This window comes from Homo sapiens, chromosome 2, assembly GCF_000001405.40.
Source record: "Homo sapiens chromosome 2, GRCh38.p14 Primary Assembly".
Lineage (NCBI taxonomy): Eukaryota > Metazoa > Chordata > Mammalia > Primates > Hominidae > Homo > Homo sapiens.
The window spans coordinates 46811609-46829478 of record NC_000002.12 but is presented as its reverse complement, the minus strand read 5'-3'; the positions used below and the strand labels follow the sequence as shown (position 1 = coordinate 46829478).

Sequence of the window (17870 nt, the reverse complement as noted above, 5' to 3'; positions counted from 1 at the left end):
ACCACCAAGTGTCAGTGACCTGTGCTAGCCAGGGGCCACTCCTCGGACCTCAGAGCCCACTGTAGTCAAGTCAGCAGGTTGCTAGGCTGACTCTGGAACAGGTCCAGCCCTCTGGGGCATGTGCCTTCTTCACATTCCTGTGGGAGTCTCTGTGGCAGAAGCCAGAGGCCACAATAGGTGAGGGCGTAGAGGGGTGCAGAGTGCAGGGCAGGGTTGACCTTGGTCCAGGTCAGGCCTGGAGTCTCACCAGGCTGCTGCCTCTCCTACAGAGGGGTCAATCAGGTTGCAATACCATCTTAGTCATCTTGGGCTGCCATAACAAAATATGGTAGACCGGGTGGCTTTAAACAATAGGGGTTTATTCCTCACAGGGTTCTGGAGACTGTGAAGTCCAAGATCATGGTGCTGGCCAATTCAGTTTCTGGTGAGGGCTCTGTCTGGCTTGCAGTTGGCTGCCTTCTTGTTGTGTCCTCACATGGCAAGGCAGAGAGCACTCTGGCTTCTCTTCCTCTTTTCATAAGGGCACTAATCCCATCATGGGGGCCCTACCCTCATGACCTCATCTAAACCTAATTACCACCCAAAGGCCCCACCTTCAAATACCATCACCTTGGGGGTTAGGGCTTCACCTAATCTCCAACATGCATTCCATAGCAGACATCTAATTCCATCTGGACACCTGCTTTGGTCCTGGGCTCCTGCTTTGTCCCTATACTTGGCTGTCCCTTCAAGACATGCCCTGTGGCTGGTGGGCTTCTGCTCTAGAAGTGTCAGGCAGGGGAGCTGCACCAGGCTGGTGCCTCTGCTGAATGCACAGAGACTGCCCTGGAGGAGGGAGGGTGGCAGCTGTGAGGGTGGGCAGACCCTGCAGCCGCATGTCAAGCCCACCAGGTTTTATTGTGATGATAAAACCACATAGTGCCTTCTCTTTCCTTTTTTTCATGAGATTGCTACAAAGTGGATTGTCAAGAGGAGGACTCTGGAGGGGAAGGAGGTCCGAGAACTGGTCAGAGAGAGACAGGACAGAGAGGCACAGAGTGAGAGGGAGGCAGAGAGTGGCATGAGGACCCAGAGAGAGCTGGGGACACAGGCATAGACACAGAGAAAGGAGCCAGAGATAGAAAACAGAGGGACAAGGTGGCAGAGATACAGAGACACATGGAGAGGTGAGGTCTGCAAGGCAATGCAGAGAGCACTTGAGGCAAGTGAGGCAGGACAAGGAGGACGAGGAGGACGAGGAGGATGGGGCATCGGGGAAGGGGAGGCAAAGGGCATGGAGGCCTCCTCCATCTCAGAGGTCCCTTCCTCAACCCAACCCATCCCAAGAGAGGCAGAAACAGCAGCACCCAGGGCAGAGCTGCCCACTGGGCATCCGTGTCTCCCCACACTCTTACCTGGCTGCCTGTCTCTTCCAGCCCAACACCTCATCACCTCCGAGTTAGAGGACCAGGGCTTGAGCGAGGAGGACTGTAGGACCCCGAGGTACCAGCTGACAGGGTGGCTGATCTCATGGGTCCAGTATGGCCAGGCCTACAGGCTGGGGATGAGGACCTCTGAAGCCCCTCGTAGCCCCCAGGCTGCCTGGACGGCAGTAAGGAGTCACTCACACTTATGTGCTGTTGGCAAGGAGATGAGACGAAAGCTAAGGGCTGACGGGGTGGTGAAGAGTGCTCAGATCACCCTCAGACATTAGCTATGAGTCGCCTTCCCTTGGGAGAATGTGGGCTTCCTGACCCAGGTGGCTGTGAAACATGCTCACCCTGAAGCAGATCAGTGGCCAGGCCGTTCCCTGAGAGCAGTCCCTGCAGTGCCCAGGGTCCAGACCTGGCGGGGGCAGGGAGGTGGCTTTCCTAGGACACAAGTTCTGCTGGGGAGCCCCAGACTGCAGGAGCTTGGTTCTGGACCCAGGACTGGACTTGACCAGAAGCCACCAGGCAGGGCAGAGGACTAGTGTGTGTGCATGTGTGTGTGTGTGTGTGTGTGTGTGCATGTATGTGTGTTTGCATGTGTGAGTGTATGTGTGTGTGTATGTGTGTGTGTGTGTCAGAGTATATGTTTTTGCATGTGAAAGAGTATGCATGAGCGTGTGTATGTGTGTGTGTGTGTGACTCAGTCTAGCACCAGCACTGTGCACACATACACTGTGTGTGTTTGTGTGTGTGTGGTGTTTGTAGGGGTGCTGGCTGTCAGGGGATCACAGCAAATAGGACAGGAAAACCCACCAGAAGCCAGAGGGTGAGGACTGAGGAGAAGCAAGTCCACCTGCAGGAGTGGGTGGGGCCACCTCCTCCCTCTGCCTGCTTCCCCACGTGTCCTCAGGTGAGTGTCGGAGCGAGGCCCTTGGCACTGGCTCTGAGCCATCATGGCGAGTGACCGGAGCTGCTCTGGCACCTCCTCAGGAAGCTTCCCTGGAGCAGGGGAAGATAAGAGAGGCTGGGGCTGACAGGTCCTCCGAGATCGGCTGCTCTGACCCTTGCAGTGTACAGAGAGGGGCAGGCACTTGCCCAGGTCCATCTCTTGATGCCCTGTTGGCTACCCTTCCACTGCCTCATGGTGTCTCTCGTCTGACTTGCCCATGTCTTTCCTGTCTTATCTCAATGGCTCTCACAACAGCCCTGAGATGTGGATAGGTTTGTTCCCATTTTACCAGTAGGAAAACTGGGGCCCAATAGGTGATCTGCAAAAACTCGGGCCATCTGAGGCAGAGCTGGGCTAGCACTGACAGGGGTCTGGGCTCCCAGCTCAGCGCTCTCTCCACCTCGGCTGTGATGAGGCGGCCCATCTTCACGGCGGGTGGCCCTCACTAAGCTCATATCCCCAGGCTTCCCTCCCCACCCCTTAGCCCCGGGCAGAACCTCCCTGTTGTGGCAGAGAAGGTGGTCAACTCTGAGTGGAGCCCCCACTCTCTCTCTCACTGGACCAGTTCTTCCTCATCTGAGAGACTCATTCCTTTGGCAGAAGTCTTCCTTTCCATGAGCCACTCTTAAATCTGCCCCTGCTTCCTCACTGTCTGCCCCAAGCCACCCTGTTCCTGGCACCTCAGTGTGGGTGAGTGTGTCAGCCACCAGCCTTCCGTGGCAGGAGGCTTTGGGGGAGCCACAGCATGGTGACGCACGGGCTAATGTGCAATGAGAATATTTTAGATCTGAGTTATCCTTCCAAGACTGGAACATGTGGCTGCCAGAGGCCAGAGGGCACTGGTTCCTGAAGAGGGGAAAGGAAAGGGAGAAGAGTGTTGAAAGGGCGGAGAAGATGGCAGGGTGAGGGCAAGCACAACCTGGCAGAACTCGAGACATCCTAAGGGCTGGCCTTAGCAGGTCACTGCCCTCTGATGCGCAAGGTCAGTCCCTCCTAGGCTCTGGAAGCCCACTCTTGCCCTCTCAGGACCCCCCGCTCCCAGCACATTTCTGAAGCACCAGTAACACGTTTCTATTTACCCGCAATCCCTCTGTGTGGTCTGTTCCACCCCACCAAAGTGGGCCTGTGCACCAGGTGAGCCCCTCGCTCCGCTAGGAGATGTGTGGGAGGCAGGGGCAGTCCCATTACCTCATCCCCTAGACCCCAGGCCAGGGGATCCTGGAAACAGAACGGCAGGGCCCTGAGTTCATCAACCACCTGCAAACCTGCCGGTCTGGGTTGGGTGCCCAAATCCCGTTTGGGGCCAGCTGGGCCAGGGCCCTCACACGGAGAACACTCGAGAAGGAAGGGCGGCCCAGAGGAGAGGCCCAAGGGTGGCCGGTGAGCAGCCAGAGGGTGACACCGTGGGTGGCTGCCCTCCCCTGCAAGGCAGCCTTTTTAGTTTGTCAAGAAGAGTCAGATGGGTGGGGGCATCGGGGGGCGGGGCTCAGCTCTGAGGCCTGGAGAGGCTGAAGGGGCTCTGCCTCCAGGGCTTTTGCAGAAGCGCATCCTTCCCAGAGCAACCAGATGAAACTCAGCGGCCCTTAGGACAACCGCTTCCCTCAGTGAGCCTCCTCCCAAGAAGCTAGCTGTTGGGCCAGTTAGCCACCACCCTAGACAGAGTCCCTGCATGGGGCAGAGTTTCTGAGCAAGCCATTGAAGAGGAGGCCAGCCCCCTCCTGCCCGCTGTCTGCTTGCCTTCCTATCTCCGGTCTAATCCCTTGGAGCAGGTGGTGGAGGTGGTTTTTGAATCACATGGCACCAGCCATAACAGCTTTATGCAGAAAGAACTACCTGGACCCTTTCCTCCAAGGAGCTCTGAGAGAGGCAGGTACCAGAGCTCCTTGGGATGACACCTGCCTCTCTCAGAGCTCCTTTGGTACCTTGGATCTCAAGGCAGGATTTCTTCATTCATTCAGTAAACATTTATTGAGTGCCTGCTGTGTACCAGGCTTTGATAATGCACCGGATATAGAGTCCCAACCCTTGGGGAGCCTTAGAAGTAACCCATGATGACAATCAAATCAGGGAGAACAGGGTGTTCTGGGAGCTCTTGGGGGTCCTGACTCAGTACTGGGGGTCAGGGAAGATGGGCCTTAGAACATGGACACCTAAGACAATGGCCGAAGGATGTTAGTTAAGCAAGAGAGGAGCAGGGAAGAGCCTTCCAGGTAGAGAGGACGGCCTTGCAAAAGTGGTGATGGTGCTTTCCAGAAACAGCTCCCAGAGCAGGTGCTGGAGAGAGAGGGACGCAGAGATACCCAAGAGCCACTCACAGAGGACCTTGCAAGCCTGGCATGTTTATACCTGCCTCCAGTCTTCAGCCAGAATTTTTCTGGGCCTCCAACTCCAGCAGGAAACCCAGTGGGAAAGAGTTATTTCCTGCCCTCAGAGGGAAGAAGAAAACAAAAACCCCAGCAATTTCTGCCTAACTCCAGAATGTGAAAGTTGACTTCTGCTGGCTGGGGTGACAGAGGATGACAGACTTTTCTCTTTCAAAAACACACTTACGCTTTTCTATTTAGAAAGGTAACACGCTCCCTAGGGAGAAAAGTGTACAGAGGAAGGTAAAATCACATAGAATCTTCATGTGGAGATAACCAATAAAACATTTTGTTTTTCCTTCCAGTCTTTTTTTTAAAAAAACATGCACTTTTGCATTTGTTATACAGCTGTGGCAAAACTATATACGCAATTTATTACCTGTCTTGTTCCCTTAATGTCTGTTCTAATGTTATCACAAATTCTTTTTTTTTGAGACGGAGTCTTGCTCTGTCACCTAGGCTGGAGTGCAGTGGCGGGATCTCAGCTCACTGCAACCTCTGCCTCCCGGGTTCAAGCGATTTTCCTGCCTCAGCCTCCTGAGTATCTAGGACTACTGGTGTGTCCCACCACGCCTGGCTAATTTTTGCATTTTTAGTAGAGATGGGATTTCACCATGTCAGTCAGGCTGGTCTTGATCTCCTGACCTCAGGTGATCCACCTGCCTTGACCTCCCAAAGTGTTGGGATTATAGCCATGAGCCACTTTGCCCAGCCAAATTCTTCATTTTTAAGGGCTGTATAGTATGCTGCCATATGGCTGTATTATAGTTTACTGAAGTTCCCTCCCAGGCACCCTTCCCATTGTGGCTTTTCCTGGACTTTTCCTATGGTTCCCCCTCAGCCCACAAGACCCCAGCCCTTAGCAGCCCAGAACCGCAGTGCCAGAGCCAGCCAGGATTCGGAGTCACCTGGGGGGCCTGGGGAAGGCTCACAGGCTTCGAATAAAAATCGAGGATGTGGGGCTGGGTGTCTGCATTTTTAAAAAGCTCCTCAGGATGCTGTGAAGCTGCTCCCAGACCAGCATTTGGAAGATGCCGTTTTAAAGCCTTCTAGGCTGCATAGCACCTGCATAGCCACATGGAGTTGATATAGCTCATTTTAAATTAGACAAATCATATCTATTTTGCAAAATTGCTGGGAAAGATAGAGATACGGCTTGTGAAGCTCAGGGTCTGGCATATCTTAGGTGCTCAAAAAAAATTGTAACTGCAGTTGTTATAATTCCAGGCAGAAGCCTTTGCACTGTGTCCCACTCAGCAGGACACTTTTGGTTCCTATAACCATCCCAGGAAGGGCTTGCCTGCCTTGGGACCCAGTTCTCCTCATTCTTTTTTGCATCAAATACAGAATCTATGCTCACGTTTTCACGAACACATCTACTGTAGGGCAGTCAATAGAAAAAAAAATCAAGCTAGGTGCAGTGCCTCATGCCTGTGTGAATGGGTGGCTCATCCCAGCACTTCGGGAGGCTGAGGTGGGAGGATTGCTTGAGGTCAGGAGTTCAAGACCAGCCTGGGCAACACAGTGAGTCCTCATCTCTACAAATAACAAAAGTAAAAAAAAATCAGCTATGGTGATGACTCACACCTGTAGTCCTAGCTACAAGGGAGGTTGAGGCAGGAGGATCGCTTGAGCCCAGGAGTTGGAGGCTGCAGTGTGAGCTATGATCATGCCATTGCACTCCAACCTGAGTGACAGAGTATCTGTCTCAAAAAAAAAAAAAAAAAAAAAAAAGACCCAAATCAGAACACATTGCCCATGAGACAGAATATGTATAATCAGGACTGTTCCATATGGCATATGGTGTTAGATGACCAGGAAGGACCTGCAATGGGGGGAGAGGTTCTAAACAGATGGTGAGGGGCTGTCGGAATCCCTCCTCCTATCTAATCAAGGAAGAGGTCAAACTTCAGGAAGGAAAAGAGGGAAATTAACCTTTATGAAAGTGTCAGCTCCAAGTGTAGCATGGTTGTCGTGGTACAAACCAGTGGTACAAACTGTTACTGGTTGCTGATAAGCTGAGCACAGACATTGAGAGTAAGCACTTAGAACAATTTTACAGCAATTTTACATTGACATTACCATGGTACCCAAGTATGTGATTTTTTTGGAAATTAACTTTTATTGCATTTTACAAAAGCATTGATCTGTGACTGATTATATATTTTAAAAATTGATTCTTCACCAAAGAGAGCTTGAGAGGCACTGGCTTAGAGACTGATATTATAAGATCTCACACCACCTCTGCAGGGTCTTGAATTAGGGGGCTCTGTCACTTCTATTGTCCCTCTCAGGAAGACAGCACCCATCCCACACTTGCTTGCCAGGCCTTGGCCAGAGGAAGGCAGCCCTGTTCCCGGGTCCCCTATCCCACATCAACCACAAGGCAGGGGTCAAGACTCCCCAGGAAGAACCCAGGCAGAGTTTGGAGGATCTAGATTTCTCTAGGAGGACAGGGGCGTGAGACCCCCCAGGACAGACCGAAGTGGGGGACTGGCATGTTCCTGAGGCTTCACGGGAAGGAAATTCCCCAGATAATTTCCGCCCTTCGTTTTAGAATCACCCCTCCTCATCAGGGAGCTTTCTCTTGTGTCTGATCTCAGTCCTCGCTGCTGGAACTGAAGTCCTGCTCCATGCTGAGGCTGGTGCTAGTTGCTCTGGGGGCACAAGCAATGGAGATATTTTTGTTAAGCACTTACTCTGATTAACTCATTTACTTTTCCCAATGATCTCATGAGATAGGTCCTATTTTTATCTTCATTGCACAGGAGAATCTCAAGGAGGTTAAGGGACTGGCTTAAAATCACACAGCTAGTAAGTAGGTCAGCCTCTGGCCTGCCCTACTCCAGGACCCGAGCCCTGAACCACAGTCTGATGCCGTGGACCTGCTTTCAAGCAGCTTACAGTCTAGTTGGGTCTGTGAGACCATTGAAGAATCCCAGCAGAGGCAGGTAGTCCAGAGTGTGTGGCCCAGGAACCTAGATGAAGGAGGGACACTGGGGAGGAGGCAGCCAGCCCCAGGCCTTGCTCCTGGCTCCCCATGCTCCCCTGGGAGGATGCTCATATCCTGTATTTCTGCCTTCACCCTCCCCAGGTGTGATCTCACTCCTCCTCTCCTTGGAGGCCCCAGAAAAGTGGCTATTGTTTCCTGCCACACAGAGAGCTTGGGGACCCATGAGACCCCTCTCACTCTGTCGGGGGCAGCTCAGGTTCCTGGCAGTGATAGGGTTGGGTGGTGCCCTTCAGCCTCCCAACTGCACCTTTTGTATGTATTTTTCCTTCCAGAAGGGTCTGCACTAGGAATGTAGATGAAGGACCCCTGCTGGAGTCCTTCCACTTTCCCATCTCCTGTTTCCCTACCCCCTACTTCTGGTATTCCCTGCTCTTTGGATGGGGCAGAACGGGGCAGAGCAAGTGATATCAGGAGAGCCCAGCCAGTGTCCTGCTGTCTTAAGCTCTCAGTGGCAAGTGGAGATAGAGATACAAAAAGCCCTTCAAAAAAATCAATGAATCCAGGAGTTGGTTTTTTGAAAAGATCAACAAAATTGATAGACCGCTAACAAGATTAATAAAGAAGAAAAGAGAGAAGAATCAAATAGACGCAATAAAAAATGATAAAGGAGATATCACCACCGATCCCACAGAAATACTAACTACCATCAGAGAATACTATAAACACTTCTACGCAAATAAACTAGAAAATCTAGAAGAAATGGATAAATTCTTCAACACATACACCCTCCCAAGACTAAACAAGGAAGAAGTTGAATCCCTGAATAGACCAATAATAGGCTCTGAAATTGAGGCAATAATTAATAGCTTACCAACCAAAAAAAGTCCAGGACCAGACGGATTCACAGCTGAATTCTACCAGAGGTACAAGGAGGAGCTGGTACCATTCCTTCTGAAACTATTCCAATCAATACAAAAAGAGGGAATCCTCCCTTACTCATTTTATGAGGCCAGCATCATCCTGATACCAAAGCCTGGCAGAAACAACAAAAAAAAAGAGAATTTTAGACCAATATCCCTGATGAACATTGATGCAAAAATCCTCAATAAAATTCTGGCAAACCAAATCTAGCAGCACATCAAAAAGCTTATCCACCATGATCAAGTGGGCTTCATCCCTGGGATGCAAGGCTGGTTCAACATATGCAAATCAATAAACGTAATCCGGCATATAAACAGAACCAAATACAAAAACCACATGATTATCTCAATAGATGCAGAAAAGGCCTTTGACAAAATTCAACAGCCCTTCATGCTAAAAACTCTCAATAAATTAGGTATTGATGGGACGTATCTCAAAATAATAAGAGCTATTTATGACAACCCCACAGCCAATATCATACTGAATGGGCAAAAACTGGAAGCATTCCCTTTGAAAACTGGCACAAGACAGGGATGCCCTCTCTCACCACTCCTATTCAACATAGTGTTGGAAGTTCTGGCCAGGGCAGTCGGGCAGGAGAAAGAAATAAAGGGTATTCAATTAGGAAAAGAGGAAGTCAAATTGTCCCTGTTTGCAGATGACATGATTGTATATCTAGAAAACCCCATCGTCTCAGCCCAAAATCTCCTTAAGCTGATAAGCAACTTCAGCAAAGTCTCAGGATACAAAATCAATGTACAAAAATCACAAGCATTCTTACACACCAATAACAGACAAACAGAGAACCAAATCATGAGTGAACTCCCATTCACAATTGCTTCAAAGAGAATAAAATACCTAGGAATCCAACTTACAAGGGATCTGAAGGACCTCTTCAAGGAGACTATAAACCACTGCTCAGTGAAATAAAAGGGGATACAAACAAACGGAAGAACATTCCATGCTCATGGATAGGAAGAATCAATATCGTGAAAATGGCCATACTGCCCAAGGTAATTTATAGATTCAATGCTATCCCCATCAGGCTACCAATGCCTTTCTTCACAGAATTGGAGAAAACTACTTTAAAGTTCATATGGAACCAAAAAAGAGCCCGCATTGCCAAGTCAATCCTAAGTCAAAAGAACAAAGCTGGAGGCATCACGCTACCTGTCTTCAAACTATACTACAAGGCTACAGTAACCAAAACAGCATGGTACTGGTACCAAAACAGAGATATAGAGCAATGGAACAGAACAGAGCCCTCAGAAATAATACCACACATCTACAACTATCTGATCTTTGAAACTCTCAATGTGCTCAAAAAGGAGTGTTTGAGGATCCAGTAGGAAATGGCTGTGGAAGCTCTACTAGCTCTAAGTGGTTCTGCCTGGTTTGGCTTCCCTCATTCTAGGCTTACTCAATTTTTTTTTTTTTTTTTGGATAGAGTTTTGCTCTTTTACCTAGGCTGGAGTGAAGTGGCACGATCTCGGCTCACTGCAACTTCCACCCCCTGGGTTCAAGCGATTCTCCTGCCTAAGTCTCCCGAGTAGCTGGGCTTATAGGCGCCCACCACCATGCCCAGTTAATTTTTTTTATTTTTATTTTTAGTAAAGATGGGGTTTCACCATGTTGGCCAGGCTAGTCTCGAACTCCTGACCTCAGGTGATCCACTTGCCTTGGCCTCCCACAGTGCTAGGATTATAGGTGTGAGCCTGGCCGACTTACTCAATTATTGCAGCCTCCAAAGCTTGGCTCAAGTCCACTGCCTCCAGGAAGATGTCTCTGACTACACAAGTCTGAACCAAGTTCTCAGCCTGAAGGGGTTATTGTCCACACTTAGTGATATAAGGCTGTTTTCCATCAGCGCTAGAGAGCCATGGGGACACCAGGCAACCCAATAATGACCACAGGCTGGAATCTGCCATGGTGCCCCACAGCACCAGGCCCCATACAAGCTCAGGCCTGCTCTGCTCAGAACTTCTCTGCTTTAGGACTTGGTGGTTTTCCATGTGCTTTACCTGGGATCACCAGATATGGGGGAATCTCTTAACTCCCAGGGAGACGGTTTGAGAAGAGATCTTTGTTATTCTCACCACACTGGTGAGGAAACTAAGGAAGGACCTGGGCAAGGTCACGGAACTGGTTTATGGATTGCAGAGTCAGGACTTGACCTGGGTTCTGATGCTCCCAATACACCCCAGGCTGCCACATTTGCCCAGGGCCTGAAGAAAGCCACACACAACACAAGTGTGTGCACCTGGGGCTCATTAGACCTCTCAGTGGGCTTTTGCCTTTTCTTTGCTTCACCAATTCCTCCTCCTGGCATTCCCGACCTCTCCCAGAACCCTCCCACAGCCCTACAGGGAGCCAGGCAGAGACAGTGATGGCTGGAACAGACCCTGCACACTACATACATGGGGATCCAGGCCACAGCGGGTGGGGCTTTGCTCTTGGCAGGACAAACAGTCCTGGTTCCGAAAGGCCCCAGAGGCCAGGACAGAGTTTTAAATAGCCAGTGTCAGGCCGATTGTGAGGCTCGGTTTAAATTAGCTGTCAGGGCTCCATTGAATCAGGTTTAATTGTTGATTGGTGCTGAAATGATGAATGAGATGTGGCTTTAAATAGGAAGCATAAGTGTTTCAACCTCACCCTGGGCTGGAACTGCAGGCATGATCTGGTGTCCTCTTATTCAAAGAGTTCCCTGGAGGAGGAGAGGCAAGAGGAGGAGCAGAATGAGCGGCCTGGGCTGGCCCGGGTTGCTGCACCTGTTTCTGGGTGGTCTAGTGTTCCAGGACAGATATAAGGATCACCTGATGGAGGCTCAGGGAAATAAGGTCTCAATAATTCAATCAAGCGATCCTTCTTCAACCCATCTGTCCACCATTTTCCTTATCATCCTTTGACCAAGGTGCTTATTCCCATCTGTGCCTTTGCAGGGGTCCCCAGACCAATCTTCCTAGAGTTGACAGAGGAAGTGGGGGGACAAGGCAGAGAGGAAAAGTCCACCATTCTTGGGAGGTCCTGCATTTAGACCTCACTCTGTCCCTCATCAACTGCATGGCTTTGAGAAGTCATATGAGCTCTCTGAGCCTCAGTTTCCATATCTGTAAACTAAGACAAAGCTTGCCCTACCTCCCTCCTGCAAGGAGCTGTTGAGGGATCAAGAAGGCTAAGGCAGGGAAGGAGCTCTGAAAACTGTGATCGCGGCACTACTGATGACTGATCAGCGCCTCCCCTGCCTGGCCCTGGGCCAAGCTGGGGTGACTGGAGGGTGAAGTGTGAATGGGAAGAGGGAGACCCCAATGTGCCTTTTGCAGCCCATGGGCTCCCCTCACCGACACCCAACAGGTCACCGCCTACTCAGTGGTGGTTTTTCACCTTCCCCAGGGTTGCTGGACAGTTCCAGTGCTCTGGGCCAGGGCCGGGTTCCCCACCCACCCTTCTCACCTGAGACCTGCCTGGTGAGTTCCCCCAGCTGCATCTTCCATCTCCAGCTTCCTCTCACCCTCACCTGGAGCCAAGTAGGGCAGTCAGAAGAGAGGGCAAGAGAAGCCCCACAGAGCCAGGGTTGTAACCGCCAGTCTTCTTGGTAGAGGAAGCTGGAGGGCTGATTTCTGGATTTGCCTCTCAAAGCTGGAAGAATGGCAGCAGGTGGGAACCAAGGACCAGCCCCTGGTGAGGGAAAGCTGGGTAGCTTCGAGAAGGCACTGTAAGCCTCCACAATGGTGTTTCTGGGGCTCAGGGCTGCAGTGGCTGCTGCTAGTAACACCCTCCCGAGAGGGTCAGGGAGTAGCCCTCATACCCATGTCAGCTGGCTCCTGCCACCCCTGGCTACACCAGACTCAGCAGAGTCCTCTTCATTAAGAAGGCAACTGTCCTAAAATGCCACATTCCTCATGATGTCACTCCCAGAGTTGGTCAGCAGCCCCCCATGGCCTGTGGGGTGGCGCCCAAGCCCCTGAGCTCACCTGTGACAGTCCTCATGGTCAGCTCCACCTGTGGGTTTCCCCTCTCCTCTTGTACTTTCAGCGGCAGAAAGGTGCACTGAGCGGACATGGGATTCCACACTGGAGTCCAAGCTCACATGTCTTGTTTTTGTTTTTTGAGACAGGGTCTCGCTCTGTCACAGGCTCGCCTTGTCTTGTCTCTGCTCCCTCACTAGCTGTCATCTGGCCCCAGCCTCCTCACCTGCTGGCGTGAGGAATATTTACCTGCTCCAGAGCAGGGCTATGAGGGGTTGGGAGGAGTTGGGAGATGGCCCCAGGACAGCAGCACGAGGTGCACCTGAGGAGCTCAGGAGGGGCGTGTTCAATTTCCTTCCTCACCTTGCAGGCTTGGTGGGATTGTTCCAGGAAAGAATCTACAGGGGAAAATGTGCTTCTGAAAACTTTTAAGAACTACACAAATTCTAGCCTCAGGAGCCCCCTTCTCCTGGATTTCAAGCAAAGGGGCCTGTGCACTCCAATAGGGCCTCCCAGCTGAGGTGTGGGCCACCTTCCTCCCTCTCCCAACATCCTCCGATTCCCGCCCATTTCTCTCCCACCCTCCAGGTCAGTGGCCTTGGGTTCCCTGTGGACACTAGCAGTCCTTTCCGCACCTGCACACCTTCTCTGCTCTCTGTCTTTGAGATGCGTGCCATTTCGTCTTCTACCCTCAACTGTCTTTTGAGTTTTACCACCTCCAGGATAGGGGATTTGAATCACCCTTGTTATATTGTAAAGGGTGGGAAGACTCCAGCTGACCCCAGGGTGCATGCAGAGGCAAAAAAGAGACAAAACACTTTTCTTTTGGTTTTGTTTTGGTTTTTGGTTTTTGGAGACGGAGTCTCACTCTGTCACCCAGGCTGGAGTGCAGTGGCATGATCTCGGCTCACTGCAACCTCCACCTCCCAGGTTCAAGCAATTCTCCCACCTCAGCCTCCCAAGTAGCTGGGATTACAGGCATCCACCACCACACTCGGCTACTTTTTTTGTATTTTTAGTAGAGACAGGGTTTCACCATGTTGGCCAGGCTGGTCTCAAACTCCTGACCTCAAGAGATCCACCTGCCTCAGCCTCCCAAAGTGCTGGGATTACAGGCGTGAGCCACTGCACCTGGCCAACTAAACACTTGTCTATTTGTATGGTTTTTTTTTTTCTCTTTAGCTCAAAAAAGTTTGTTGGGGGTGGGGAGTGGGCTACAGAGGAGATGCTTTTGAAGAGAAAAACATCACAACCCTGAAAATTCTGGTGAAGGACAGAAGGCTCAGGAAACAGGCTCCCCAAAAAGGCAGCCAGGGTGCCAGAGCACGTGACCTGCTTTTCATAGTTTCTGAGCGCTCTCTGCCTGCATCGTTGTGCGTTCCTCCCAGACATGTGAAGTTGGTATTATTGGAATGCCTACTTGCGTTGATGGGGGAAACGAAAGTAGGTATTATAATTCCCACTCCATAGAAAAGGAACCAAGGTTTGGAGAGGTTAAATACTATTGACGATAAAACAACAATAGCTGCCATTGGCTGAGAGCTAATTGTGTGCAGGCTCTGGGGGAAGTGCATTTGAGACATCCTCTCATTGAGTCCCTCAGCCATCTGGCAACGTAGACACCATCGCCCCCATCTGATGGCAACTCAGAGATGTTAAGAAATGAGTCCACATTTAGGAAGTGGCAGGGCTGGTTCTAGGACAGGGGTGGGGCAGCCAAGGGTCATCTGGGGCCATCTTCTCATCTCTGAAGAACAGACATGGCCAAGGGCAGAGCTCTGGCTTTCTTCCCTTTGCCTGGAGTTAGATTTAGGACTTATAGGACCCATAGATGAAAGTGAGAGAGAGGTAGGTTTTAGTTCAACCCCTAAAAACATTTTAGATGAGACTTTCCTTAGAAATAAGGAATACCCAAGGAATTCAAAGTCTGGATGAATCTTCTACCTGGAGTGTTGTAGAAGAGACTCCTCCTGTGCCTGGGACAGACAGGGCTTGGTCTCAGAGCTGGAAGACCATATCCTAGCGCTACCACTGACCTACTCACGTCATGATCTTGAGCCAACTACTTGACCTCTCTGAGCCACAGTTTCCACATTTGTAAAGATGGGAAAGTAAGGCCTTTCCAAAAAGAACGTTGTGTGGATTCTGAAATATGAAATAACAGATGCAAAAGCACTCCTGGCTTGGCCCAGGGTTGGCATCTGATAAATACTGGCTGAATCTGAATCTAAGCCAGGTAGGGGCTGGGATCAGAGGACAGTGACAGTCCCTTGCCACTCTGAGTGTCTATGACTTCCATCACCACACTGGCCATGGGCCCTGCTTATCGTATCTGCCACAGGTAGCCAAATACCCAGGTGAGGATGTCCCCACAGGACTGAGAAGAGATCTGCTAAGAGTATTCAGTTTAACGGCAGCACCATGTCCTTGGTTCAACTTCTTTTTGTGGGGGAGCGTGGAGAGAGGAGGGGAAATTTTATGATCAGTCTGAAGTGGAAAGAAAGCTCTTATCTCATTTCCTTCTCAGAGCTACATGTGATGGCTGTGACTCGGCCGTGGACGTGCTGGGGAGAGTAACGGGAACTGACAGCGGCCTGGGCCACATTCTCTAGTCCTCTTCCCACAGAGGCGTCCAGAGAAGGGGAATCGGGCCCTCTTTGCCGTGCCAAAATAAACTCGCATTGTTTCCAGCTCCATGAGAGGCCTCGAGTGAAGCAGCCTTTGCCAAACCCTAAAAGGAAGGAAGGCTGAGCGGGGGGAGGGAGGGGTCCCTGGATCGGGGGATGCACCCACCACCTCGCTTTCTCCTGACTTTCTGAAAACTCCATGTGGGCAAGCTCTAAAGCAAATCTCAGAGGGCACTGTGAAAATCTGTGCATTTAGGGGAGAAAGAAAGGACTCGAACTCCCATTTGTTAAGGGTCTACTGTATGGTAGGTACTTTGTTCATTAAGACTCATATTGGTGGGCTGCAGGCGCACGCAGACCAGGGTTCAAATTCTGACCCTGACTCTATTTGCTAACCACGTGACCTGGGCAACAAAGAACTCTGAGCTTCCATTTCTTGCAGGTAAAATGGGGCTGTTATGTAACAGCAATTCTTCAGAGAGGTGTTTTGAAGGTTAAGTCAGGTAATGTGGTAATGTATGTAAAGTTCTCAGCATAGTACAGGGCATATAAATACACTCAGTATACATGAGTTATTATTACTGTTATACAGCTGCTACTCATAATAATATCATCTTAAAACTTTCATGAAAATGCTGAGAGGTAGGTATTGTTAAATAAACATGACAGGTATGGAAAGTGGAGGCTCAAGAGAGGTTGAGGCACTTTTTCAGGGTCTAACAGTTAACGAGCGGTAGGCTCAGGATTCAAACTCAGGTCTGCCCAGCTTGACGGCCATATGTGTTGCACCTGCATCTGAGATGAGGGCTGACTGGGTTTTCTCATACAGATGCCAAGTTGCTCGGAGGCTGGAAAGCTGGAAAACAGCAAAAACAGAGACTGCTGGGCATCACTTTCATGGCCCAACTGCTTCCCAGACTTCATAGGCTCAGCCACCCTCCAGCCGGGCCTGGCTGACCACCAAAGCCTACGGTTCTCCTTGCCAGGCCTCAGGGCTCCTCTGTCTTTCAGCATCCATCTGGAGTGAACGTCTGCAGCGTGGGTCCCGTCTGCACCACTGGTCCCCAGGCCCTGCACAGTTGGCCTCCTGCTCCTGCATGGACAGCTTGTTGGAGCTGAGCCAAAGCAGCCTGGGATTGAAATCCTACCTCTGTCCCTCACTAGCTGGGTGACTCTGGGCATGTTACTTGCTCTCTCTGAGCCTCAGTTTTCTCATCTGTAACTCTGGAGCAAGAGTACCTAGTGAGAATTACGGGAGACAATGAAGATGACAGTAAGTGCTCCGAAGGTGTTAGCTCTCCTTCCTCCCGTTCCCTGCCTCTGGAAGTGGGTGCTCCTGGCTCTCCTGCTCACTCAAGATCATGAGGCTGTGGAGCCCCAGGCCAGGACCTATTTTTCATCCTGATATGTACTCTCTGCATGTCATCCTTAATGAAAAACGAATAACTCATGTGTTCATTTCATTAAATGCTGCCCCCACAAAAGTGTGGGCTTGTGCAATTCTCCAAAGACTGTCAGCTGGAAGATATCTCAGAATTCCTCGTAAATCAAAAGGTTTCATTTTGCTGCCAAGACAGTCAACTCTCTTTGCCTGAATAAGACGGTGGGCGGTGCTGGGCTGGGATGGAATCGGAGACTTGCCTGCTTGTCCGGGCTTTGCCAATTACCCACACAGGAAGGGGGCAGACTGCTTGTGACTCTGGCAGAGAAATGGGTGGGATGGGGTGCTGGATCCTACAGGGTCCTTCCTTCTCCTCCTCCGGTTCTAAAATTCTGGACTTTGAGCTTTCCTTCTCCCTCTGCCTCTCCCAGCCCCCTCCCACTATGCTCCTCCCGCTCTGCTCCACAATCCCTGCCTCTCCAGTCAATCAGGTCAAATCAGCTCAGGGCAGAGTCTGCAGAGAAAAAGCATCTATGCATTCCTGGCAGAGGATGATCTTCTAATGCCCCTTAGCGCAAAAGCAGCCCTCCTTAGGGGTGAAAAGAAGGGCAGCCAAAGTCTGTGTTTCTATTGTGGGGTCCAGGAAGAGTGGGGCATTTGCTCATGGAGCTAAGGATGGATAAATTTAGAAGTAAAAAGAGGGTTCCTCTCCTGCCCCCAGCTTTGGAAAGGACCCCCAAGCCAGCCCAAAGGGGCTTTGTGGTCACCTAGTGGAGCAGATTCCAGGCCACCCAAAGGGGTCTGCACATTGTGGGTGGCAGTGGGGTGGGGAGTGCACAGGGTGAAGGTCCCAGAGGAAATTGGGCCTCTTAAAAACCACAGTCAGAGCTGGTCTCTTGGGGAGGGGAGATGAGGGTTGCAGAATTAAGTTTCAATGTCTTTACTGCTGGGCTGCCCGACTGAGAGTAGGAGACAGATATAGAGGACCCAAAAGATCACTTCTGAGTGCAGGGGTTGGGAAGGAGAAGGAGACAAAAGAAGGACAAGGACAGGAACAGAGAGAGGCGAGGGGACCAAGAGAGAAGTGAGGGGGGCAAGGGGAAGGAAGGGAAAAGGGGGAAAGAGGAAGAGAGAAAGGAGAAAAAGGAGGAAAAAGGGAGGGAGAAAAGTAGGCGAGAAGAAATGAAAACAGAAGGAAAAACAGTGAGGAAGGAAAACGTTTCCCAAAACACGTCATCTGAGTGCTTCCCTCCTTGACAAGGGGGTGGGAGGTGCGTCGAGCCAGCCTGCACGCTCACCTCA

The 17870-nt window shown here is 50.7% G+C and overlaps 2 long non-coding RNA genes across 2 annotated transcripts in view, besides 1 other annotated feature; both read right to left on the bottom strand.

Moving 5' to 3' along the window:
- The window catches only part of LINC01119 (long intergenic non-protein coding RNA 1119), a 31143-nt gene extending 29528 nt beyond the window's left edge, over window positions 1–1615 (bottom strand). The window contains exon 1 of the long non-coding RNA NR_024452.1: window positions 1395–1615. This is a non-coding gene — a long non-coding RNA (long intergenic non-protein coding RNA 1119). The remainder of the gene's footprint in view (window positions 1–1394) is intronic.
- A 5203-nt stretch (window positions 1616–6818) lies between these two features.
- Window positions 6819–12811, bottom strand: LINC01118 (long intergenic non-protein coding RNA 1118). Its single transcript, NR_034099.1, has 4 exons — window positions 12567–12811; window positions 12046–12231; window positions 11248–11299; window positions 6819–7378 (listed from the first exon to the last, which is right to left on the bottom strand). It is a non-coding gene; the product is annotated as a long intergenic non-protein coding RNA 1118 (long non-coding RNA).
- Window positions 13289–13553: a silencer, noted in NCBI's record as "fragment chr2:47043065-47043329 (GRCh37/hg19 assembly coordinates)". NCBI's record gives its function as "represses an EF-1alpha promoter that drives an FKBP-Casp9 reporter gene in an ReSE screen in phorbol 12-myristate 13-acetate-treated (for megakaryocytic differentiation) K562 erythroleukemia cells {active_cell/tissue: K562(+PMA)}" and the evidence as "EXISTENCE:reporter gene assay evidence [ECO:0000049][PMID:32094911]".